This window comes from Homo sapiens, chromosome 6 (assembly GCF_000001405.40).
Source record: "Homo sapiens chromosome 6, GRCh38.p14 Primary Assembly".
NCBI lineage: Eukaryota > Metazoa > Chordata > Mammalia > Primates > Hominidae > Homo > Homo sapiens.
In genome coordinates, this window is record NC_000006.12 from 47,698,565 (window position 1) to 47,723,759 (window position 25,195).

Sequence of the window (25,195 nt, forward strand, 5' to 3'; positions counted from 1 at the left end):
ACTGTGGGTAACTTTACAGTTCTCAGATCGGCTTCTCGCAACAGGCAGTCAGTTCTCACTGGGCCCCTTGGACTCCCATTTCAAAAATGGAGAAGACAGATCACAGCCACTGACCAGGGACCGTGGGAGGTGCCACGTGATGGTGAGGCATCATGCTAGGGAGCTGAGCTCTGACCTTCCTGCTGGGTGATTCTCCACCTCTGGGCTGCTAGATCTACTTCCTGGATGCCGTGAGTAGATGTCCTACACCAGCACCATTTTCCTGTTGAAGAAAGGCTTGTTTTTGCACATATTCCAGGAGGGGGAAATGCGTGATATATGATGGTATTTTCTGGAATGCTTGATTCTTCTGGAAACTTCTCTAACATGATTTAGAAATTGGCTAGCTCAAGGTTGGAGTATTTCCTAAGCCTCTTTTACGTTTGTTTTTCTTTAAGAGTTGTTTGTCAGGCTTTAATGGCTCACTCCTAGGAGTGAAAATGCAAAGTATCCTGTCAGGCAAATAAACTCACTGTCCCTGCATTGTCCCCTTGCTTGATAAATTTCAATACCTGTCTTTTAGACTGAATGTAAAGCTGGATGTTGTTTTAAAAGTGTTCTTGATTAGTTTCTTCTTTTAGTGAGCCTGAAAAAGCTATCATTGTATCAATTTAAAAAAACATTTCTCCAGTTACTGCCAAACACGTTTTTGCAAAGGCATCTTCCCTTGTTTCAAGTGGCCAATTCTATGCTACTTGAAGGTCTATATTCCTTATACTCTGAAGACAGTTGTGAGAGGTCTAAAGTGTTGCATCATTAGGTGCTGTTTATTTGTTTGTTTGTTTGTTTTTCAGTGTCAGCACATCATGAGCTTTCTTCATGGACCAGAGGCAATTGCTGGGCGTATAAATTTCTTTAAAATTTTATAAGTATCAAGATAGTTGGTGAGATATCTAGATGTCTTCTAACTCTGAAATTGTCTTCCAACTCTGAAATTATGTGATTCTTGAAACCTATCAGAATCTGAATCCAGATTCCAATTTTTAGAAGAGATGCTGGGCTACAAACAGATTGGCTGGAAGCCATCTAAAGTAGCTAAAGATGAGATGTTTCTGATTCTAATAGTTCTTTTCTATCTTTCTTTCCCCCAAGGCTCTATGTGAAGCATTTCTTCCATGGCAAGGGAGAACTCTAAGGGTAACTAAATAGATTCTGCTATGAGGGCAAGAGATACTGGGTCTTAAACACATAAACAACTCGTTTATCCATCTGATGTTATAATCAGAGTTCTAATTATACTACTGGAACAGAGGAAACAGACAGACAGTTATAGAATTAGGGGAACAACACACACACACATACACACACACACACACACACAGACGACACACCCCCCCCCCCAAAATGTGGGTCACTTAACTCTTAGGTTCCTTGCCCTCTAGTTAACCTCTTTGGATTGGTTGTTCCCATCAGACAATGGTCTGGCCTGGGAGTAAGAGGCGAATTGCCACCTTGAAGACTGGCAAAAAAGTGAGAAGAGGCACTCCCTCTCACCTTGTGGTACAGTTCCGGGGAGAGGAACCCTTTGGGAAAGTATTTCCTTGATTCACAAATATTCTTGGCCATTCACCTTAGGGTGTTTTGCATGAACAGGTTTGCGAGATCACACCTTCTGATGCATTCCTTCCTGACTGACTACACTTACAGTTCCCAGCTGACCTTTTAAAATTTTCTTTGGGAGTCCTGATGTCAGGCCGCACTCAGCGTGTTCAGACGGGTAGGGAGTACTCAGTCTGTGTGAGTCATCCCCTACAATTCCATCTGGCATGTTTCAGAAAGAAGCTCCAGTACCCAGACAGACTCACTGTAGTTTTAAATTCCAACTCATTCAGAAAATCTGCTCCAGGTACAAGCAAGATGGGACAAATAGGAGATGGTGTTTCAGAACAGCTGGGGTCATCTGGGTCTGTCTGGAGAAATAGGGTTTTATTAGTTCTGACTTATGGAGACAGTGTGGAAAAAGACACATGCATTGTTATGACACCCTCTTGTGCCCATGGCGGACATCCCTAACCTGGCATGGCATTATTTCCTGCTCAATTCTTTTTTCACATAAGGCTCCAGGCAGTACAATAAAGAGGAGGTCCACAGTAGGACTGGCATCTACTTAAGTCACCAGGTTCCAAAATCATCTAGAGTTGCAAACGTGCTCACCTGACCCTCTGAGATAGAAAAGTTGCCTCATGATTTTAAAGCAAAAACTTCAGATGCTGATGTCACTCTGCAGGAATCATTTCCCAATTCATTCACTTATACAACAAATGTTTACTGAGTGTCTATTCTGTATCTTATCCTCTGCTGGGTGCTGAGGATAGAGAAACATCAGGTGTTTACATTTTTTTGCCTATTTCACTAGGTGTGGCCTAATTTCTCTCAGGCTCTGGGGGGGAAGAGCACAAATTGTTGTGCTCTGTTGACCCATTGTGATTAGAATTTAGGCAGCGGTGTGAAAGTCGCTGATTACTGTAAACTTGATGGAGAGGTAGATCCTTAGACACATTCACCCTGGGACAATCAGGTCTAGCTGTGTTTGCCTGTAACTCTCTGAGGCCAGCAAATGTTATTTTCTTTGTAATGACCAGCAAATGTTATCTTTTTCTTTGTAATGACCATGTTAGAGCAGGGAGCCTGGCCTCCATTCAGCAGGCTTGAATTGCTTTTTAGTACTGTGTGAAAAACAAAGGTGAATTATAGTGGGTAATTAACACTTTTATAATCATGCACAGAAAGAGGCGGGTTATGGAAGTGGAGGAGAAGGAACCTGCGACGTGACTTTTTCAGGTCCCAAGAAGCTGCGTTTCTAGGTGGCTTAGTTGCTTTTATCTCTGAAATAAATCATCTTGCAGACACCTTGGGAAGGAGATGTGGAGCTGCCCTTATTGGGTGACTAGTATAGCAATTGGAGGGAATTTATAAATGACTAACCCTTTATTTACCTTCTTGCCACAGATAGCCTCAGGCAAGAGTTCTTTTGCTTCTTGTTTTCTCTTTCACTTTTTAATTCTTCATTTCTGAAACTGATTTCTTTCTTGTGGTCACCCAAGCTTTGCTGTGAATGACTTAAAGAGCTCCCATGAACATATCAGCACAGTGACGGGCATTAGGTAGATGCCCAACAAATACATGTGTAGCCTAAGTCTGGATAGATTAATGTGTTTTCCTCCAAGATAACATATTGTGATGGAATAGCAGCTTGAAACTCCTCAAGGCATTTCTGATTACTTATTTATTTTTATTTTTATTTCTTGAGACAGAGTTTCACTCTTATTGCCCAGGCTGGAGTGCAATGGTGCAATCTCAGCTCACTGCAACCTCTGCCTCCCAGGTTCAAGCGATTTGATTCTCCTGCTTCCGCCTTCCAAGTAGCTGGCATTATAGGTATGCACCACCACGCCTGGCTCATTTTTTTGTATTTAGTAGAGAGGGGGTTTCACCATGTTGGTCAGGCTGATCTCAAACTCCTGGTCTTAGGTGGTCCACCCGCCTTGGCCTCCCAAGGTGCTGGGATTATAGGCGTGAACCACTGCGCCTGGCCTAGAATTTCTGATTATCAAGTGAATTGGTAAATCCTGGGTGAAACAGTTTTCTTACTACAAGAAATCTCAGAACCTTTGATATGTGTTCATGCCTGTTTGTGTGTGTGTCTGTGTGTGTGTTGGGGGGAGTTGGGCAGTGGTGTTACCCATCGTTTCCCAAACTGATATGACCATGGAACCCCTTTGGCTTTTATGAGACCAGTCTTCCACAGAAACCCATGTGAGGACACAAGGCCTTGGTCAAATACAGTAGACACAAAAGCCTCCGTTGTTTGCCTACTAAAAGTAGAGCAGTCCCACTCCCCGAATTCAAAGAAAATTAGGTCAGTCTATATAAATGCCTTCAAGGTTAAATTTTTCTTCTGTTCCATTTTCTTTAACCTTTTTGTGCCTGCTACAAATGGTTGACAAACAAATGGTGGATAATATGCATCAACCTCAAACATAAATATGTCTTGTTCCAGCATTATTCTGTCACAATTACTGCTTGCTGTTTTTGTTTCCCCTCACTGAGTACTAGAATCTTGATTTAAATGGAGACGTCTCTTCCCAACAAAGTGTTTTTCTGCCACCATACACAGAGGGTTTATAAAGATAGAGAATATAAGAGAATACACAATTTTGTTGACAAACTGAACAGAATGTAGAACCAGAAGTCAATAAATGGAATAAAGGTAATTTAAGGAGAATATGCCTGGAACAAGTCTGGATTCTCCACATAGGATAGGATCTAGCACTGGCTGTCCACTCTTTACCAGAAACTGGTATGTCCCTCACCTGGGTGAGTTAGCCCCCATCAGGCTCCCATATGAAAGCTTCTTCTTTAGGTACTGACCATGGTTTGCTTATATCCATCTGGACAATTCTCACTCTTCTTGTTACATTTAATTTAATATTTAGGTTTTGCATGCTTGTTCTTTTCTTTCCCTCATCCTTTCAGGAGACCACTCACTACATATAGACATGTGCTAGGTGCTGGAGAGATACTATATTTGTGTTTACTGAAACTTTTCAGTTTGGAATGTTGATAAACTCCAATTCACTTTAATTATTAATCTTTATCAGTGGTAGATCTAAGGATGTGTGTTTCCTCCTTTACATTCTATAAAATATCAACCATGGATGAATTAGGAGGATAAATTATGCTGCCAAAGCTTTTAATAAAATTTTAAATTCTTCATTCTCAGAATCCTTAAGCTCTTCTCTGCAGAGGACTCTGGCTTTTGGCCTTAGCTACATTTGAATTCTGAAAGGAGGGATCCCATTCGACCCTTTCTGGTGAGAAGAGAACCAACCAAATTAGGGCTAACCTGAAAATGTCTATCTAATCCATCGCTGCCAATCAAACTGGGCTAAAATAAAAATGCTATGATTCCTCTTGGGTAATGTCACTGAATATTCTCCCCCAACATTTGTAATATCGGAAGGAAATTTACTATATAAATTACCATCCCAAATGGTATATAGTTACATATGCCAGACTATAGAAACATGAATGATCAAGTAGCAAATTAATTAATCAAAACCCTTCAGCCATTTGTGCTTAGTTCAAATTCATGTATTTTATGGTCACGCTTATGATTTCATATTACATATATATTTTATGCTAGTAAAAGTTTTTATTTATGTACATATATGAAATGTATCATTATTCAATATTGTTCCACAAAGCATGATTTGCAGAAAATGTCATAGCTGTTGGATCCTTTACTCCCTGAACACGTTCAGGAGCTGTGTGCAGCTGGAGGCCTAGCACTAGTTGGAGAGACATTTTTAGACTTCACAAATGACATCACATCATTATGCCAAATACTTTCTTTCAACAAGGTTAGCTCAAAACAAAACTCCTATATTAAAGGTAATGGACAGTAAACATGACCCTTCTCCTGAAGCCTCAGATAACAGGTGCTATTCTTTTTTTTTTTTTGAGACGGAGTTTTGCTCTTGTCACCCAGGCTACAGTGCAATGGCATGACCTCAGCTCACTGCAACCTCCTCCTCCTGGGTTCAGGCGATTCTCCTACCTCCCAAGTAGCTAGGATTACAGATGCCCACCACCATGCCTCGCTAATTTTTGTATTCTTAGTAGAGATGGGGTTTCACCACGTTGACCAGGCTGGTCTCGAACTCCTGACCTCAGGTCAGCCTCCCAAAGTGCTGGGATTACAGGGATGAGCCACTGCACCCGGCAGCAGGTGCTATTCTTTACAAATGCCTCCCTTCGTCTCGCCTTCACCCATTTTAGTGCACATTTCTGACTATGATCTGAAATGTGGAGAGGAATTGGGTTTGCCTTCAGCATCGGTCCTATTATTTGGTCCTGAGAATAGGTTTCTTTTCTCCTTGACACACACACCCTGTGAAGAAGACTTCAGTATAATTGTGAAGGCTAGCAAAGAGAAAGGATTAAAGTGATCACTTTAATGAGAGAAGTGAACAATCTTCAGCTTGATAATCAAAATGAATCTTATAGTCTGTATCTGTTTTTCAAACTGCAGGTTACAATCCATTAGAGTCTTGTGAATTAAACTTAGTGGGTGACAACTAGTATTTGAGAGAATGTCAAATAGAATAGAGAAGAATGTAAGATAAAAATATTGGATATATCAGAGTTCTTGCTTGTAGGTAGCAAAGATAAGTATTTTTACATAAAAATCGTAAAGATAAAAATTATGCTTTTTTGGTTTTATGTATAGACACTGATATACATACATAGATACATATCTATGTATGTCTGTACATAGTGAGTCATAATATAAGATCTGTTTTTTATTGTGTCATTGTCAAGGTTTTGTTTTTGTTTTTTTGTGATGGAGTCTCCATCTGTCACTCAGGCTGGAGTGCAGTGGTGCGATCTCAGCTCACTGCAACCTCTGTCTCCAGGGTTTCAGCGATTCTCCTGCCTCAGCATCCAGAGTAGCTGGGACTACAGACGCCTGCCACCACACTTGGCTAATTTTTTGTATTTTCAGTAGAGATGGAGTTTCACCTGTTAGCCAGGATGGTCTTGATCTCCTGACCTCGTGATCTGCCCACCTCGGCCTCCCAAAGTGCTGGGATTACAGACATGAGTTGCCGTGCCCGGCCTGTCAAAAATTTTTGAAAGCCAAAGTCGTATATGTGAAACATATGGATACTTTTAAAACAATTTATACTGTTTCTTCTGGTACTTTCTTTAGTGATGATCAGTTAAGCATCTATCTTGGACAATATTCACATTGCAAATTGCTTAGGCCCATTCATCAATTTACGGCCTACATGGAGACTTCTTTCTACCCACACTGTAAGATCATGAATTCCACATTCATAATCCCAGCTCCTATCAAATCTATTACCACACCTTGCCTGTCATGCTGCCATGTTCTCTTTCCTTTGCTCAGACTTGCTCTGCCAGATGATGTTGTAAATAAACACACCTTCCCCTCTGTTCATTGGTTAGAAACTTGAAACTCAAAGATAATTTGGAAGCATTCTTGTAAGTGCCTGTGGCTTGTCATCTCAGCTGAAGGCTCACTGGACCCAGGAAAGTCCATCTTATGCTTGACTCTACCCAGAAAGGGTCTGATGTCAGATCAGTGAGCTCTGTCGGCTCCCTGGTCACTGATTGCCTTATGAACCTAGTTGGATCAGGACCTAGGTCATCTCTACTGGATCATAAGGGAATTTATGTTTGCTGAGGATAGTCTTTGCCTGGTTGTGTTCACTGAATGTGATGTGTAGGTGATCTCTCTTCTCACTGTTGGTTTGACTTGTCTGTTACCCACTGAACATCTTTTACAGGAAAAATAGCATCTTTTATTTCTGTATGCTGAGCATCTGGTACAATTTCTAGCAAATGAGTGACACTTGGTAAATGTTGGTTGATAGAATGAATGATCATCTACATTTTATGAAATGGATGAAAAAATAGGCTAGTTCATCCATAGTAGACATCAGATTATAGTATAGTTCTTGCTGATTCTAAAATCAAAGATCTTTTTATTTTGCTGCATCTGGATTTCCAGGAAAATCATTTTAAGGAACTTTATTGCCAATAAGGGGTCTGAATTGCCACTATCCCATATGAAAGTGTCATAGTAATGATCATGATGATGTTGATAAATCTCAACTGTTGTAAGGATTTTTTTTGAGATTTGGCTTTGAAAGGTAGAACTCTCAGGAAAAAGGCAAGAAACAGAGATATGGCAAAAGAATAGAGAGTTATCTTCCTGCGCATCTAGTTTCTCTGTATAGTAGTTTATCCATCTCTAAGAGGGAGTCTCAGAGCTTGCTCCGGTAGCAGACGGTTGGGTTTATTAATTTCACTTTAAGTTACTTGTCTCCATATGCCTAGACAGACAGTACACTATAGGACAGTGGTTCTCAACTGGGGGAGGTCTTTTCCTCCAAGGGCACATTTGACAACAATTGAGGGCGGGTAGTGAGTGCTACTGGCATCTATTGGGTAGAGGCCAGGGATGCTGCTAAGCATCCTACAATTCACAGGACAGCCCCCAACAGCAAAGAATTGTCCAATCCAGAATGTCAATAGCACCGTCACAGAGATATCCTGTTACAGAGATGAAGAATGGCTGTCCAGCTGGATCATCTGGGTTGAACTCGTGGCTCTACCACTTTTTATCAGAGTGATGTTGGGCTCATAGTTGCTCAACTCTTTGTCCCTTATTTTCCCCAATGATAAAATGAAGATAGTAATAGCATCTTACATCATAGGATTAAAGGAATTTATGCGAAGACAGTGCTTAGAAAAGTTATTGGCAAATAGATATTCTTGATAAATATGACTATTAAATAAACTTGTTAATTAAATAATAAGGAATGATGCTTTGGTGAAACTACATCCGTTCTGGTTCTTCCATCATTCTATCTTCTTCTGTAGAAAAGTTAACAGTTGAGAGAAATTATTTTCTTTCGTACATTTTAGCTGGCTTGAAAATAGATATTGGTGTGCTTTTCCAGGGCAGGCTGCTTTGGCATGACTATCTCAGAGTATCTAGTGGGTTCACTAAGGGGTTGGTTAGCCGGATAAGTATTGTTAGTTGCGTGAAGTTGTCACCTTCAGGTGGGTATGCCTTCTTTCTCTATTGCAGGTGAAGATCCTCATGTATGAAAATGAAGTCCCAGGCAACCATGATTTGCTGCTTAGTGTTCTTTCTGTCCACAGAATGTTCCCACTATAGATCCAAGATTCACCTAAAAGTAAGTTTGATCTATTCCTATGTGATCCGAGGAGAAATCTCTCAGTTGCCCTCAATGGCAAGACTTCTGATAAATAAGATGTCATTTTAAATACATTTTCAAATGGTTACAACTTTACTCTTGCTGATAGTAACTTTCTAAAGAAGGGAACAAAGAAAAGCTGAGAGGTGGCAGGGACTTGCCTGGAGAGCTACAGTACAGTAGAATAATCAAGCTGCAATGGGAAATGTAGATAGAATGTAGATAGACTGCTGCTGAGAGAAGAAAGTACTCACCTGGCAGTTGAACAATGGAGAGTCAGATCTTAATTTTGCTTTCCACTAGTTGCACAAGTTGTTTCACTTTTCTGAGTCCCAAATTCTTTATCTATAAGATGAAGTTTTTAAAGATATTATTTATAGTTCTTTATAGACATAAGAGATTTGTGATTCTATTATTGCTACCTAGTGATTATTCCTAGTATTCCTAGTATTCCTGTTCATTTCTGTCTTCTAAGGATCTACAGTATCTGGTGGACCACATTAACTTCATTTCATCCTTACAGTTAATACAGGCAGAGAACAGATTAGTGGTTTAATTCTCATCTCTGTGTTCTCCCTGGATGCTTAAACTTTTTGAAAGATGTAGCATCTCTACTAACTTCACCTAGAAAGGCCAAGTGACCACCATCAAGGTTCTATCCCTTATCAGAGGGCGTGCATTCTCCCTGTGCTCTCATCCACATTTCCTTCAGCAAGTTACCGCAATACCAGCACATTTATCTGCTGCAGTTTTCTTTCTAGTCCTGAACACATTTTCTTTTCATATTCATATGGAGCCTCTAAGCTGAGATGAGGGAGCAGAGTCCCACAGTAAAGAGGACCATTGGGAATTTATATTTTTCAGGCTGGAGATAAACTTCAAAGCCCTGAAGGGAAACCCAAGACTGGAAGGATCCAAGGTATGTGGCTATAGAACAGTCTTCATCCATTTGAAGACAGGGAAGAATAAAGGAAGGGCACTGATGTTGCAAGCTTGTCCCCAGACCACAGGCTTTCCAACTGAATAGCAATCTCCAGTAAGTCCTCTGTGCTTACCAGTATTGATAGATTCTCTTACATTTATACCATTACCAGTGGCATAGTCAATGAAGGGAGTTAGCAAATATTCACATGTGCTCTAGAATAGTAGACAAATACATACTTCCAAATCCCAAAGAGAAATCTGTTCAAAGTAATGAGTTAACAGGAGGCAGAAAAGGAAAGAGGACAAGATTATTTCTTCCTTCATTCAAAGATATTTTCAGGGTGCTTAAATGTATGCAACACTCTGGTGCTGAGAACTCTATTAAAGCACTGTAAGATGGACATCATGGTGATGAGACTGGTCACTCTCAAGAAGTGAGAAGTAAACTAAGGGGGTAATCACTAGGAGTACTTCAGTGAAATCATGTGGTTCTCACTCATGTAGTAGGGAATAACTGGATTCTGCACAATTATGGCCAGGTGGCAAATACATTCTTATATAGATGTGGAAGTCAGAAAGAAAAGCAGAGAGAAAGGTAACTAACATTTACTGGGCATTTAAGACAACTTGAATCTAAGTGTTGCATAAAATGCTGTCTCATTCCATATTTGTAACAACATTATGGCATCATATTCAAACTATATGGAAGAAGAAAATGAGAACTACTCTGGTTAATGAACTTGCAAAAACTGTTGCAAATTTTACAAACAAGGTTTGATGCAAATTTTGCAAACAAGGTTTGGCAAAGCTTGGTTCCTTTTCCAGTGAATTCAGTCATCACAGAGCTGCCCAAGCCACTAAAGGTGACTCTCAGGCAACTGGTTACCTCATTTTATTGATTTGAACACCCTAATAGCTCTCAGCATCATTTACTTTCCATTTTCCCCAGCTGCTATCTTAACCTGAGAATATTTCAACAGCCTCGTTCTTCCTATCTGAAGTGCATGCACTCTGACCGATGGGCCACATTTGGCCTGCCACTAGTTTTGGTAAATAAAGTTTTTTCGGAACATAGCCATGCCCATTCATTTACGTATTGTCTTTGGCTGCTGTCACACTACAAAGGCAGGGTTGAGTAGTTGTGACTAAGACTCATATGGCCTGCAAAGCTGAAAATATTTACTCTCTGGCTAGAATTACCATATTTAGCAAATGAAAATATAGAATGCCTGATTAAATTTGAATTTCAGATAAACAATGAATAATATCGCATGGGTCATACAGACACTAAAAACTTATTTGTTGTTTATCTGAGCATTTACAGTCATTTATTATTTGCAGATTCTATATTTGCATATTTGCCTAATGCTGAAATTTATTTGTATTCCCTAAATCAATACTCCCAGTGCTTTTGTGGTCATTCACAGACATGCAGAGAGCAGCAAAAAATTGAGTTGCCCAGTGCATATGTTTTCAGCAGGGGCTGGACAAGGTGATGCTTTACCTTCTTGTTCTAGCTCTCCTACTATAAACAACTGTTCTTTCCTAGTCTACGTAGCATCACAGTTTTTTTTTTGTATTTTTGTGCTTTTTGTTGGTGATTTTGCTGTTTAAAATAGCCACCAAACATAGTGCTGAAGCCCTGCCTAGCATTCCTAAGCCAGAGAAGGCTGGAATGTGTCTTATGGAGAAAATGCATATGTTAGATAAGCTTTGTTCAGGTATGAGTTATAGTGCTATTGCCCATGAGTTCAATGTTAATGAATCGACAATATATATTAAATAAGGTATCTTTATATAGAAACACACATCAAACAAGGTCATATATTGATTAGTTGATGAAATTGTTGTAAGCAGAAGCTTGTAGGACCCTAACCTTATATTACCCTAGGAGCAATTGTTCAGAACACTTAGTATTCATGGTGACTTTATAGACCATACCTCCTGTGGATAATGAGAATCAACTGTGTGTGAAAATAAAATTGACATTTAACTGGGATTCCCATATTTTATCCAGCAACTCCATTTATGTGTTCCTTTACATAAAAGTTTATGGACTCCTGCTCTATCTTATCATCAATTATCTTTCAAAAACAAGTTCAATCATGTCTTCTGGTAACTCCCACATTAGCACAGCATTCAAGGCCCTGCATGAGTTAACCCCTGCTTTCCTTCCCACCCTCATCTCTTGCCACTCCCCCTTCAGGTGCTCTGGACTAGCCTTTCTGAATGATGTGAAATTCCCCTTTCCATGTGCTGTTTACTCTGCCTGGATACCAGCTGCACAATCTACCTGGCAGCTCTTACTCATTGCCGTGGACCCAGTTCAACCCAATTGCCTCCTCCAGGAAGCAATCCAAAAATCTCCAGAATGAATTTGATGCACCTGTCAAAATGTGGAAATCCTAATTGGGCTCCTGTCTCTCTCTCTTTCTCTTTTTTTCTTTATAGAGAAATGCGAAGGACCTTGTATTTCTTCTTCCAACTGCAGCCAGCCCTGTGCTAAGGACTTTCATGGAGAAATAGGATTTACATGTAATCAAAAAAAGTGGCAAAAATCAGCTGAAACATGTACAAGCCTTTCTGTGGAAAAACTCTTTAAGGTGATGCATTCACAAATTATTGGTGACAGAAGCCAATCCCCCAGCAGAAAGTAGACACATTTTTAATGTGATCTGTTCAGCATGACAAAAAGTCTCAGATCCGCACTTAGAAAAATCTACAGAATGGGTTAAATTTGTTTCTTGACCTTCTTTCCTTACCCAAACTTTCAGGTACTCTCCCTCCTCTCTATATGCTCTCTATTTCTCCCGCTAAGAAACTTTTCTCAAAAAAAAAAAAAAAAAGATATGAAACTCATTTATGCTATTGTGTATATGATTGCTTAGAGGTTACATTTTAGCTCTAAAGGTGGGTTGGTATGCCTCTTGTGATAATCAGTTAATCAACTAAATGTATCTAGGATCAAATTTATTTTGATATCTCTTTTTTTGTTTTTGAAATGGAGTCTTGCTCTGCCTCCAGGCTGGAGTGCAGTGGCGCAATCTCAGCTCACTGCAACCTCCACCTCTCGGGTTCAAGCAATTTTCCTGCCTCAGCCTCCCGAGGAGCTGTGACTATAGGCACGTGCCACCACACCCAGCTAATTTTTGTATTTTTAGTAGAGATGGGGTTTCACCATATTGGCCAGGATGGTCTTGATCTCTTGACCTCGTGATCTGCCCACCTCGGCCTCCCAAAGTGCTGGGATTACAGGCGTAAGCCACCGCGCCGGGCCTTGATATCTCTTTTTAATACTTTCAATCTCTTGACCAAAAGAAAGGAGAGATGTGTGCTCAATCTAGAGGAACAGAATTGAATGCATACAACACATCCAGTTAAAGTTAAAATCTCTTTTATATCCTTCCAGGTAGCAACTATTTTCTTCTACCTCCCCTGCAATCCCATGGAAGCACATGGATGTCTGCATTTTCTAAAATTTTAACAGTGGTTTTACAAGGGGATTGCAGCTGGCTTCTCTGTCACTTAGCCTAGGTAATCACCTAGAAGTCCTTGCAACTATGGTCACACTCGAAAGTGAATGAAAGGAAATAAATAATTGCTTTGCTTTATACAAAGCACATTCTGAGTGAGTCTAGGTAAAAGAATCAGAAAATGAGCAAATCACTTCTTCTAACTAGTAAACTCTAAAGTCTGAAATTGTCATTCCTTAGCATTCTGTGTTTGACCTGCCAACCTCCCAAATCCACTCCCCCATGAAATTCCATGTGGTTCTTCTTTCCCTTCTCTGTAGAAAATTATCTTGTTATAATACTTGAGTTAAAAATCACTGTCCTGAAAGCAAATTCCAATAGTAAAGGTCAATATCCTGGTTTCTGGTAATTTGGGTGAAATCCTCTGCCTCTTTCTGATCCCACTGTATCGTCTCCACCCCCCTCTGCATCAAAACCACTTTTTAGGACTCTTTGCTTCTCCATCTACCTTACCCATGTAGATTGTGCTTTAACTCCTTTAGTCTGATACATGGTAGGTACTTAATCATTTTTGAATGAAACTACATTTGTTTTAAACAGGACTCAACTGGTGCATCTCGCCTTTCTGTAGCAGCACCATCTATACCTCTGCATATTCTAGACTTTCGAGCTCCAGAGACCATTGAGAGTGTAGCTCAAGGAATCCGTAAGAACTGCCCCTTTGATTATGCCTGCATCACTGACATGGTGAAATCATCAGAAACAACATCTGGAAATATTGCATTTATAGTGGAGTTATTAAAAAATATTTCTACAGACTTGTCTGATAATGTTACTCGAGAGAAAATGAAGGTATTCTTTGTTAATCATTTAAAAATGATGTTTTTCTTAAAATTTTCATTTGAATAGTTTCAAATATACTTTCCAGGGCAAAAACTACAGTGACAGCAACCATCAAAGCAACAGCAGGCATTTCACTTCGGTTTGGGATATTGATTCATTATAGTTTATGGAGGTTTTCAAGTAGTTAAAACATTTTTAATACCTATCTTTGTACACACTTCATATTTTGAAGAAAATATCACATAGTGTAGTGATGGCTATGAGCAAGACGGAATGTACACTAATGTTTCTAAATTATATTAGAACAGGGGTCCCCAACACCCAGGCAGTGGATTGGTACCGGGCTGTGGCCTCTTAGGATCTGGGCTACACAGCAGGAGGTGAGCGGAGGGTGAGCGAACATTATCACCTGGGCTCTGCCTCCTGTTGGATCAGCTGCAGCATTAGATTCTCGTAGAAGCACGGACCTTATTGTGAGCTGCCTATGAGAGGGATGTAGGTTGTGTGCTCCTTAGGAAAATCTAATGCCTGATGATCTAAGGTGGAACAGTTTCATCCTGAAACCATCCCTACCTCTGCCACCCAGAGTCCATGGAAAAATTGTCTTTCATGAAGCTAGTACCCGGTGCCAAAAAGGTTGAGGACCACTGCTGTAGAACATAACCATTCTGAGAAAGTTAATGGAGATTCCATTTTTAAAAGGGAGATCTGTAGCCCATCAGTTGTGGGAGGTTCTGAGTTAAACAAAGTTAGGCAAGTTTCCATATGGCAGGACTTTTCAGAGCCTTTAATATCCTAATGAACTTTGGAATTCTTTGTAAGGCAGAGGGAGATAGGGACAGGGTGTGCAGTCTTTCTCAAGCTTGGATGACCAGAGAACATACCTCCACTCTCCTCCATTAAACAATCATTAAAATCTCATGGGAAACTTGGGTTCTACACACTGCAGTCTGGAAATGCTGCCCTGCGTGCAATAATAAAGCAGGTAAACCTTAGCTGTGATTTTTTTTTGCATTATTTTACTTTTCTTCCCTCTGTGTGGCCTTACTAATGTGGATTCTAATACATAGGGAATTTGAAGAGAAATATGCCAAATAAGATTGGGTAACCTGATCTTTAGAAATTTCAGGTTTTAGAAATCAACTTTGTACAACAATGTGTAAATCCTTAGTATAATGTTCACCTTTCTCCATTGCAGAGCTATAGTGAAGTGGCCAACCACATCCTCGACACAGCAGCCATTTCAAACTGGGCTTTCATTCCCAACAAAAATGCCAGCTCGGATTTGTTGCAGTCAGTGAATTTGTTTGCCAGACAACTCCACATCCACAATAATTCTGAGAACATTGTGAATGAACTCTTCATTCAGACAAAAGGGTTTCACATCAACCATAATACCTCAGAGAAAAGCCTCAATTTCTCCATGAGCATGAACAATACCACAGAAGATATCTTAGGAATGGTACAGATTCCCAGGCAAGAGCTAAGGAAGCTGTGGCCAAATGCATCCCAAGCCATTAGCATAGCTTTCCCAACCTTGGGGGCTATCCTGAGAGAAGCCCACTTGCAAAATGTGAGTCTTCCCAGACAGGTAAATGGTCTGGTGCTATCAGTGGTTTTACCAGAAAGGTTGCAAGAAATCATACTCACCTTCGAAAAGATCAATAAAACCCGCAATGCCAGAGCCCAGTGTGTTGGCTGGCACTCCAAGAAAAGGAGATGGGATGAGAAAGCGTGCCAAATGATGTTGGATATCAGGAACGAAGTGAAATGCCGCTGTAACTACACCAGTGTGGTGATGTCTTTTTCCATTCTCATGTCCTCCAAATCGATGACCGACAAAGTTCTGGACTACATCACCTGCATTGGGCTCAGCGTCTCAATCCTAAGCTTGGTTCTTTGCCTGATCATTGAAGCCACAGTGTGGTCCCGGGTGGTTGTGACGGAGATATCATACATGCGTCACGTGTGCATCGTGAATATAGCAGTGTCCCTTCTGACTGCCAATGTGTGGTTTATCATAGGCTCTCACTTTAACATTAAGGCCCAGGACTACAACATGTGTGTTGCAGTGACATTTTTCAGCCACTTTTTCTACCTCTCTCTGTTTTTCTGGATGCTCTTCAAAGCATTGCTCATCATTTATGGAATATTGGTCATTTTCCGTAGGATGATGAAGTCCCGAATGATGGTCATTGGCTTTGCCATTGGCTATGGGTGCCCATTGATCATTGCTGTCACTACAGTTGCTATCACAGAGCCAGAGAAAGGCTACATGAGACCTGAGGCCTGTTGGCTTAACTGGGACAATACCAAAGCCCTTTTAGCATTTGCCATCCCGGCGTTCGTCATTGTGGCTGTAAATCTGATTGTGGTTTTGGTTGTTGCTGTCAACACTCAGAGGCCCTCTATTGGCAGTTCCAAGTCTCAGGATGTGGTCATAATTATGAGGATCAGCAAAAATGTTGCCATCCTCACTCCACTGCTGGGACTGACCTGGGGTTTTGGAATAGCCACTCTCATAGAAGGCACTTCCTTGACGTTCCATATAATTTTTGCCTTGCTCAATGCTTTCCAGGTAAGTTCCAAGAGGGAGACTTTTCTGTGTTACTCCGACTAGACCACAAAAAAATGGCTATGATTTGAAATTATATAACACAAAATGTTCTCTCCACTTCCTTTTACATCTTAGGGTTATTTGGCTATGGCATCTGTGACTGTATTGATTGTCAAGTTGAATTTAGCTGACCAGGGTGGTTGGGTGGAAATCTCCTTCCTTCTTTCCTCACTGATGCACCTGTATCCCTACTAAAGTTTCAATGTTAGAAGAAGCTAACCTTCACTTATAGAGGACTATTCTTTGGTCAGGGATATGTGAGGCTACATGTTATGCCTCAAAACAAGCATATTTTTTATCCTTTATCCAGTGGTTTGGGAACTCAGTGAGATAACAGTCACTTTCTATATTATGAAGTAATGGGCCTTGCCACTCACTTTGGGTGTTAGCCAGTCAGGAGTTCTCATACCTCTTTCCTGCTAGTCCCTGTGAAATAAAAATAAATTGTTATTTATAGAAACAGATCTTGCCATATGTTAGCTGATCTTGGGAATGCCACTTTTCTCTGGGCCTCAACTATTTGGTTCTTTGCAGTAGAATGTTCCCCACTACTCTTTTAAATAATGTAACTAAACATCAAAGTATTCCTATTAACATGTCAGTATCATTCTGTTTAAAAGCATGATACAAAATAGAAAGCAGACTTTAAAGAAATGCCAACTCAGATCAATTATATATCTTACCCATAATTCTGTAGTAACTATAGAGCACATTTATTATACTCTTTCTGTTGCATTGCTTTACAGTGAAATCTTTGACATGAGGGATTTTTTTTTTTTTTTTATCAAAGACTCTGGGACTTTTGATAAATTTCCCCACTCTTGAAGTTACTCTGGTGAGTAATGATCTCATCCTTTCTTACTTTGCAATTTAATTAAACCCTGGGAAATTTTGCTCTGTATTTCTTTTTCAGTTCATTTGTGTTTCTCTCTTCTTGATAGAAAGAAAAATACCCAAATGCTTTTAGTTATATACATTTCTCCTTTCTCAGCAAGCTCTTCCTAAAATTTTAATCTGATGAGTGTTTCTTCACCATGAACTCTCCTTAGATTGATAGTGAAAAGACCCTAGCCTTATAAATCTCTGTAGCATTCTCTTTCTTTTATGTAGAAATGTTTTTTTTTTCCACCAGCTTAGAGGCCTTGGCTGTCTATTTACTGACTTTTAACTCCAACTCAAAGTAGACTAGAATATAAGTTTCGTTTTCTTAAGACACCTTCCATGATTGTGATTTTGAATTACAAGTTTCTGTCACATGTTTCTGTCATCACGAGTAGAAACAGCTACCTCAATATTTGGGAAGAAAGTAACATAACTGCATAAGGCTGAAAACTATCCTACATCTACAGCCATTCAATAAATATCAATAACCCTCCTGCACATTCCTTTGTGGGTGATGATCCTCTTCCAAGGGTGGGGGCAGACTCAAAGGAACACCCATCAGTGCATTTTTATCTGCATTAGTGGAAACTGAACTTTCTAATGTCCAATAACTGCCCTAGGAGGTATCTAGAAGAGCGGTATGAAAATAACAGCAGGAATATTTTTTGAAAAACCATCCCTCATGAATCTGTTCAATTTTGCCACAGGGTTTTTTCATCCTGCTGTTTGGAACCATTATGGATCACAAGGTAATTTGAATTTGCTTCCTCCTTATAAATGGTTTTCATGTGGCTGGGGGAAGCAGGAGGATGAAGCAGTTTTGATTGGAGAGCATACTCCAGGGGAGTTGAGTTTGTGAGGATGGTTCAAGGAATCAGCTGTGAAAAGAAAAAAAAAACACACCAATATTCTGTCATTTCTTGCTCTTTATCAAGTCAACAGGAGGCTGTGTGCAAGTATTGCTGGTGAAAAGAATGGAAATCATAATCACAATTTTAGTCCTAATACCAAATCCCAAATCTAATTATAATTACACCCTAGCTTTTATCCAAATCTTGTTACTTGCCAGTCACTATGCTAAGTCCTCTGATATTGCTTCTGCCAGGGTTACTGGTCTTAAAGTTTCAGGACAGGCAATTCTGTTGTTTCTTCCAACATCTGTGAGGTACTTCTCATTGTCATTGCTTCTTTAGATAAGAGATGCTTTGAGGATGAGGATGTCTTCACTGAAGGGGAAATCGAGGGCAGCTGAGGTAAGCCTTCCCCTTTTAGTCTCAGCCCTGGAGAGTCCGTGTCCTTGCCGGTTATGCAGAGACAAATACCATAGCTCAGTACTCAGGATCTGTGGGCAAAGAGGATCAATAAAGCGTACTTCATTCATTCATTTCTTCATTCGGTAAATTTGGAGTGTTCTGCTAAAACTGAAGGTCAGTGGAATATACCCTTCAAGGGAATGTTTCACATTGGATGTATTTCAGCTTGACATTTGAACCCATCAAGATGGGACCACATGAACTCAGGATCACAGATTGGTAAAATGTGAGAGCGCTGAAATGAGAAATGAGTTAGAAATGAGATTCTAGTCCAACCCATTCATTTTACAGGTATGGAAATCAAAGCCCAGAATACTTATGGGATGGGCACATGGCCACCCAGCTAATCAGTAGCAGAATCACAACAGGGAGCAATTGGCATTAAAATCTCTTTCCATTCTCCTTATTTGAGACTCTTTTGAGTAAACCATACTCTCTTGGATTGGAGTATCTATGTATTTAGAGATCTTGAAGACTTTGGGCCTGGCTATCAGTCTCTTAAGGCACCAAGTAAAATTGCTGATACTACTTTATTAATTAGAAGTTATTTGTTTAACCTACAGATTCACATTAGGAGCCCCTTCCTTAAAAACGAAAACTTTTTGGATACATTGATAACTACCATTTATATTTAGATAGCATTGAGTGGGACTTTTAGTATCATAATTTATCTATTCTAAGATAGGCATTTTCTTCGTCTTTTAACGTTTCTGAAATTGGAATGTATCTTATATTCAATGGCATGTCATAGTTTAGTTGGAAAGTTTTGTTTCTTTTTATTTTTTAGCAGAACATAAAAATAACGATGTAGCTTACACTTAGATTCAGTGAAATATGATAATTTACTTCTGTGTAGCTATATCAGTGTGGGTACTCCTTTTCATGTATTCATTTTCACATATTTATCTCTAGAGAGGGATATACATTTTGTCAATATAATTACTCATTACCACTACTGTTATTTTTCCCCCACTTAGAATGCATCACTAGGCCCAACCAATGGATCTAAATTAATGAATCGTCAAGGATGAAATGTGAGTATTAAAAATATAAAGAGAAATTTCACTTGCAATTTGTGTCAATCCACCAATGCCCCTTGTGACCACACTATTGCCTGCTACGTGCTGCCAGAATGAGGTGGGAGGGGAAGAGGGGGACATCTTTTTCAAAGAATGGAAACATCTTTATTGTCTAGCACATAAATGAAAATATGTACATTTTCTGTAAAACCTATGTCATCTCAGCTTACATGACCAAACCCATCACACCTGCTGTCTACAGTGCTCACATACCTTAATTCCATCTTGTCAGTGAGTAATAACACTCATAATAGCCCCATTGTTGAAAAAGAACACTTGATTGATTGGAATTACAAAGCAACAGGTCTGTCTTTCTTAATGAAGTGGAACCCAGAATCATTCCTAAGGGGGTATGGGTGGGGTTGCGGCAAATTAGCTACCTACTTATAGCCAACCCCTGAGACATATTTCTACACAGGTGAAACCAGGGGAGAACACACATTAGGCAGCCAGGAAGCAGGAGAATAAGTCACAAAATGGCAGCCAGAAGCCTGAGAGGTACTGGGGGAATGTGGGCAGGGATGATCAACCTTGGGAATGGGTTTGCTTGGAGAGGTTTCGTGGCCTTTCTGCATTGTTATAGAAGAGTTTCAGACTTTCAAACAAAATACCATTTGGCAGCAGCCACATCCTTTTTATATTTCTTTCCCTTTCTAAGTCATGGTCCATATATTGAGCAATGGGCCAAAACAAGGGGCTGAGTCTCATGGAACCAAAGACACTCTGAGTTGGAAAAACCTTTAAGGGACATCCATGTTACAGACCCTACAAACCATATGCTGTGCTGGTATGGGATACTGACATACAGTCGCAGGGAGAGGGAGAGAGAGGTGGAGGGCTGTGTCATATACATGGAGTGGCATGTGTTAGTGCTGGGAAAACGGGGAGAGGAAAACACAGGCCTGTTATCTTTAATAATTGTCCTCCTATTTGGAATTTTATAGGAGACCTTTACAAAAGTTGACCCTTCTGCTCGCTGCCCATTTCCTAGTCTGTCAGCTTCCTCGGGGATGAAACATCGCTATAACGTTTCTTAATTTGCCACTAATAGAGAGTCATTAATTCAAATGACCTATTAAAAACACAGCTGGCCTTTCTATTAAGGTCCTACTTAAAGAACCGCTTGTTTTAGGTTTATCAGACTGTCTCAGGTGGAGGGGGCCCTGCCTTTGGGGGATACTGTGTCCAGCCTTTCAAGAGAAGAAGTGCGTAGTGAAGGCCTTATCTCCACCTGGTTGGGGATCCTAGGTTGGCTGTAGTCTAAGTTGGAGAAACACAGTAGAAGGCAAGATCAGGAGCTACACTACTTACTAGGGTTGGGGATGTACAAAGGAGTCTGCCAGTATTAGAAGGAAGTCCAGGAAGGAGGTGGAATGCCCTTACAATACTCTCTGAAGAAGTCTTCATCACATAATTCTCTATCAAGTTGCTGTATTTTTGAAGCTACATGAGGTAGGCGAGGAACTGAGGACTGGATTCTTTTAGCATATCCCTTGCAAGTGGCTCTGTGCCTATTGAATTTTCTCAGTATTGGGGACTATGCTTTTCACATCTGGACACACATGGTACCAGAAGGGCTCTATAATTGCAGCTGGCATCATGGTAGACCATGTTGGGGACCTAACAAAGATTACAGTACAGGGCTAAGAAATTCACACTAGATGATCCTCCAAAGTCCAGAGTGGAGGGTGGCAGCACCAGGGGGTCTCTCAGCGGAGACAGGGGCCCCACACACAGTGTTCAGGGCAAAACCCCAGGCACACTGGGGGTGTTTGGTAAGCACCAGGAGAGGTGGTGGTCCAGGGCAGGGCTGAACCACGAGGGAAGGCAGTGTTCCAGACCTTCACCAAGAATAGAGGATCGAAGGCTGACATGGTCTCAGGAGGTAGGCAGAATTCTGGGAAATGGGTCGAGAGGTCAGAACTGGACTTGCAAGGAGAATTGAGGCTTCCAGTGTTGGGGGACACTCCTCATATCCCAATGATCGCAGGTCAGAATTGTTCTTAGAAACAGGGTTGAGACAGGTCTGTCAGGTGGTCCCAGGGTCAGGGAAGGAGGACTGCAGAGGTGGAGAAACAGGGAACTTAGCTTTGGGTATAGATTCTCATTGGGAACCCCATTCTGGGAGGCAGGGGAGAGAGGGCCACGGCATTCTGTTGGCGGCCACAGCTCCACAGCACCTTCTGTTGTTCATATCAAGGGTAGGACAAGCTGGCTGTTAGATTCCAGGGGCACCAGGAAGGCTCTGGGTTCCTCCAGTGTCTTGCATGTATTTGTTTATGCCTGTTTAGTATTGGTTTATCACTAAAAGGATACAGAGTTTTTCACTCCACAATAATAAATGAGACTGGTTGAGCATATACCCGGAGGGAAGCAACACGGTTTACAATGTAAATTCACAGCAGCAGAGGCATTCTAGAATCCAAGTTCAGACAGCAGAGCGGGAGAGAGGGCACTGAGCACCGAGTTTAGGGTGGAAGGAGCAGCCCAGGGAAGGCAAAGGGCACCAAAAATTGCAGCTGGGAGAATCGCCTTTTTACTGTCTGACCTTGAGGAAATTACTCAACGGCTCTGTGCTTCATTTCGTCTTCTGTAAAGCAGAGTTAATAATAGTACATGCCTCCCAGGATAGTTTCAGGATTAAATGAGCTAACACGTTAAAAACCCAATGCAAGCTATTATTCTTGCTATTAATTGTTTTTCAACCATATTTCCCAGGCTGCCCCATTTCTCATGGATGTCCTGAGACCAAGAGGGGAGATCCAGGAGAAAGAGGCCATGGAAAGCAGGCTGGAGTGAGGAGGAATGGTCATGCTTCCTTGGAAGACTTTCTCTTCTTGTCAGGAGTGACTCCCAAGCTCTTGGTCGGCCGAAGAAAAACTGAGGATAACATTTGCTGACTGGGCTTTAAGGAGCATGATTTATGGACCCCTTAACCTACCCGTGCCCTGCAAGAGGCTGGCTTCTTGGTCAATCTTGACTAGATTAAGAGTCAATCTGCAAGCCATTTTATGGTCTCCCTGGCCAGCTGGGGGCTGTAGGGCCCTGCTGGGCTTGGTCGTCTTTCACTCCTGAGGCCTGCTCTGTGGCTCCATAGCTCAGTCCTCCATCACTCTGCGTGGATCCTGGGTACTTTGGACAGTGAGGGTTCGATCCAATTTTAGGGGTAGGGTTGGGGGTGGGAGTGGGAGTGTGGGTTGGCAGGAGGAAGAATGAGTCTACTTTGGAGACAATTAAGTCATGGTACGTTTCCTAAAGATAGGGAACGGAAGAAAAGCAAGAGAACTGTTTAATATGCTGATTATTTTAGTCTATTTTAGACCTTGAGTAAACTAATTTAGCTTCTAGGATCCAAGTTTCCTTATTTGTGAAACAGGAAAAAAAAATTCTTGTAGGTATTACTGTTTGTGTGTTTGAGTTTACTGCACATGTTTGTGTTTGTGTATATGTGTCTTTTAAAAATACTATATATAAAGAAGATTCTGGTTGTTATTTTAGACATAAACGAATATATGTACCTTTCACAACTTGCGCATGTGTGAGTTCATTTGAGATGGGCTTCTCCGTTGGTACCACACATTCTTGGGTACCAGTGCTGCTATCAATCCACCTCAGTGCATTGACCGTACCTACAGGAGGCCTGAGAATGCAAGCCTGCCATGTGTTCACAGGGCGGGAACCTGGAAATATTTAGCAAAGAGCTCTAGTGTCTTTCAGGGACTCTCAGTGAAATTTCTATCACCAGTTTGGTTTTATAGTGAGGCATTCAGTACTGAAGAAGGACATTTGTGTGGGTAGAGCACTCTGTTCAAATTGTGGAAGTCGTAAAAGCCGATTAGTAGTCATGTTTTTTCATAAAACAAACCACAAAACAACTGAATGAATATCTCTTTGCAGGGCTCCTGTCAAAACCTTTAGTATTGGTTTAGAAACAAGATAAGACTTGGTTTCAAACTAAATGCACTTTGTTCAAATTGTGGAAGTCATAAAAGCCAGTTAGTGGTCACGCTTTTTCATAAAACAACAAAACAACTCAATGAATATCTCTTTGCAGGGGCATGTCAGAACTTTTAGTATTGGTTTAGAAACAAGATAAGATTTGGTTTCAACCTAATAGTAATTATTTAAAGGGTGAAAATTCTAGGTCAGTTGCAAATTTTTCTCCTCTCATAAAAATGAAAATAAAATGTTCATTGGAGAGACATGAATTTAACTTTTAGATGTATGAAAGTTCCTTAGCATTAATTTATTAATCCACATTTCCTTCCTGACTCTTGCCACTATAAAAACAACTTTTATTTCTCTCAATCCAGAAATTCCTGAGCATTATGCAATTCTAAGCCAAATAATTGTCTTTGGTTGAGTAGATTTATTTGGTACTGTAACGAGGCCAAATTTATGATTTCCATATGCTAATACCATTTAGTCTTTCTTTTCCATATTTTCCAAAGCTTTCCATCTTTGTAGCACATAGTAAGAGAAATATAGTACTAGGTGCAGTCAGTTCTGCAATAAGGCCACATATGCATTTCTAAAAATCACCTCGCTCTGCAAAATAGGCAATAAAAACCACAGAGCTTATGGGGAAAATGGATTAGAGATAAGACGTGGCAAAACTTTGTCAGAGACACATTAAAAAAGATAACTGAATAAAAATTATAGCACAGTTTTACTCATACTAAATGGTCAAGAAACATATAAATATAACTCTCTCTCTCTGTCTCTCTCTCTCTATATATATATATACACACACACTTTCCATTGAAGAAGATCTGAAATTTGCTTTTGGAAGTAGCTGTCAAAAAGGTTGCAGGTTGTTAGTTATTGTGAAGGAAGGTTATCTGACATTGATAGAAAGTTGTAACACCAGAAGTAAATTGGTGTAGCTTATAACACATGCAGTGCATTGAGAGAGCTGGTAGATGGTTGAAGTTTGTGTGTGTGTGGGTGAGTGTGTGCATGTTTTGTATACACCTACATTGCTTGATTCATGTACATACAGTTTTCTGGGTTCACCTAATGTTTCTTGAAGATGGTACCACATATTAGCAAACATGAAATTCATGTTATGTTCAAATTATTCCCTAATATATCCATCCAGTTAGAACAAATTCTTGTTTTCAAAACAAGCATTATAGCAGAACTGACTGTATTTCGTGGTAAACCACCATAAAGAATAGTGAGTTCCAGCACTGAAATGCATTAAAAACCACCTAGAAAGCTTCTAAAACCATGAAACCCTGAGCCTTACCCCCAGAGATTCTGATTC

General features: G+C 40.4%; 1 protein-coding gene and 1 pseudogene across 2 annotated transcripts; both read left to right on the forward strand.

The window, feature by feature from the left end:
* On the forward strand, positions 16-23,450 carry ADGRF4 (adhesion G protein-coupled receptor F4). 2 transcript variants are annotated; one of them, NM_153838.5, is made up of 10 exons: positions 16-230; positions 8,666-8,774; positions 9,660-9,714; positions 12,171-12,322; positions 13,793-14,044; positions 15,234-16,613; positions 18,242-18,283; positions 18,728-18,787; positions 19,825-19,881; positions 22,645-23,450. In NM_153838.5, the coding sequence occupies exons 2-9, from the start codon at positions 8,682-8,684 to the stop codon at positions 19,876-19,878; spliced, it is 2,088 nt and encodes a 695-aa protein (NP_722580.3). In that variant the 5' UTR covers positions 16-230; positions 8,666-8,681; the 3' UTR covers positions 19,879-19,881; positions 22,645-23,450. The 2 variants fall into 2 exon arrangements, with proteins under 2 accessions (NP_722580.3, NP_001334784.1); NM_001347855.2 differs by having other exon boundaries at positions 16-142.
* RN7SKP116 (RN7SK pseudogene 116) lies at positions 16,719-17,037 on the forward strand (annotated as a pseudogene).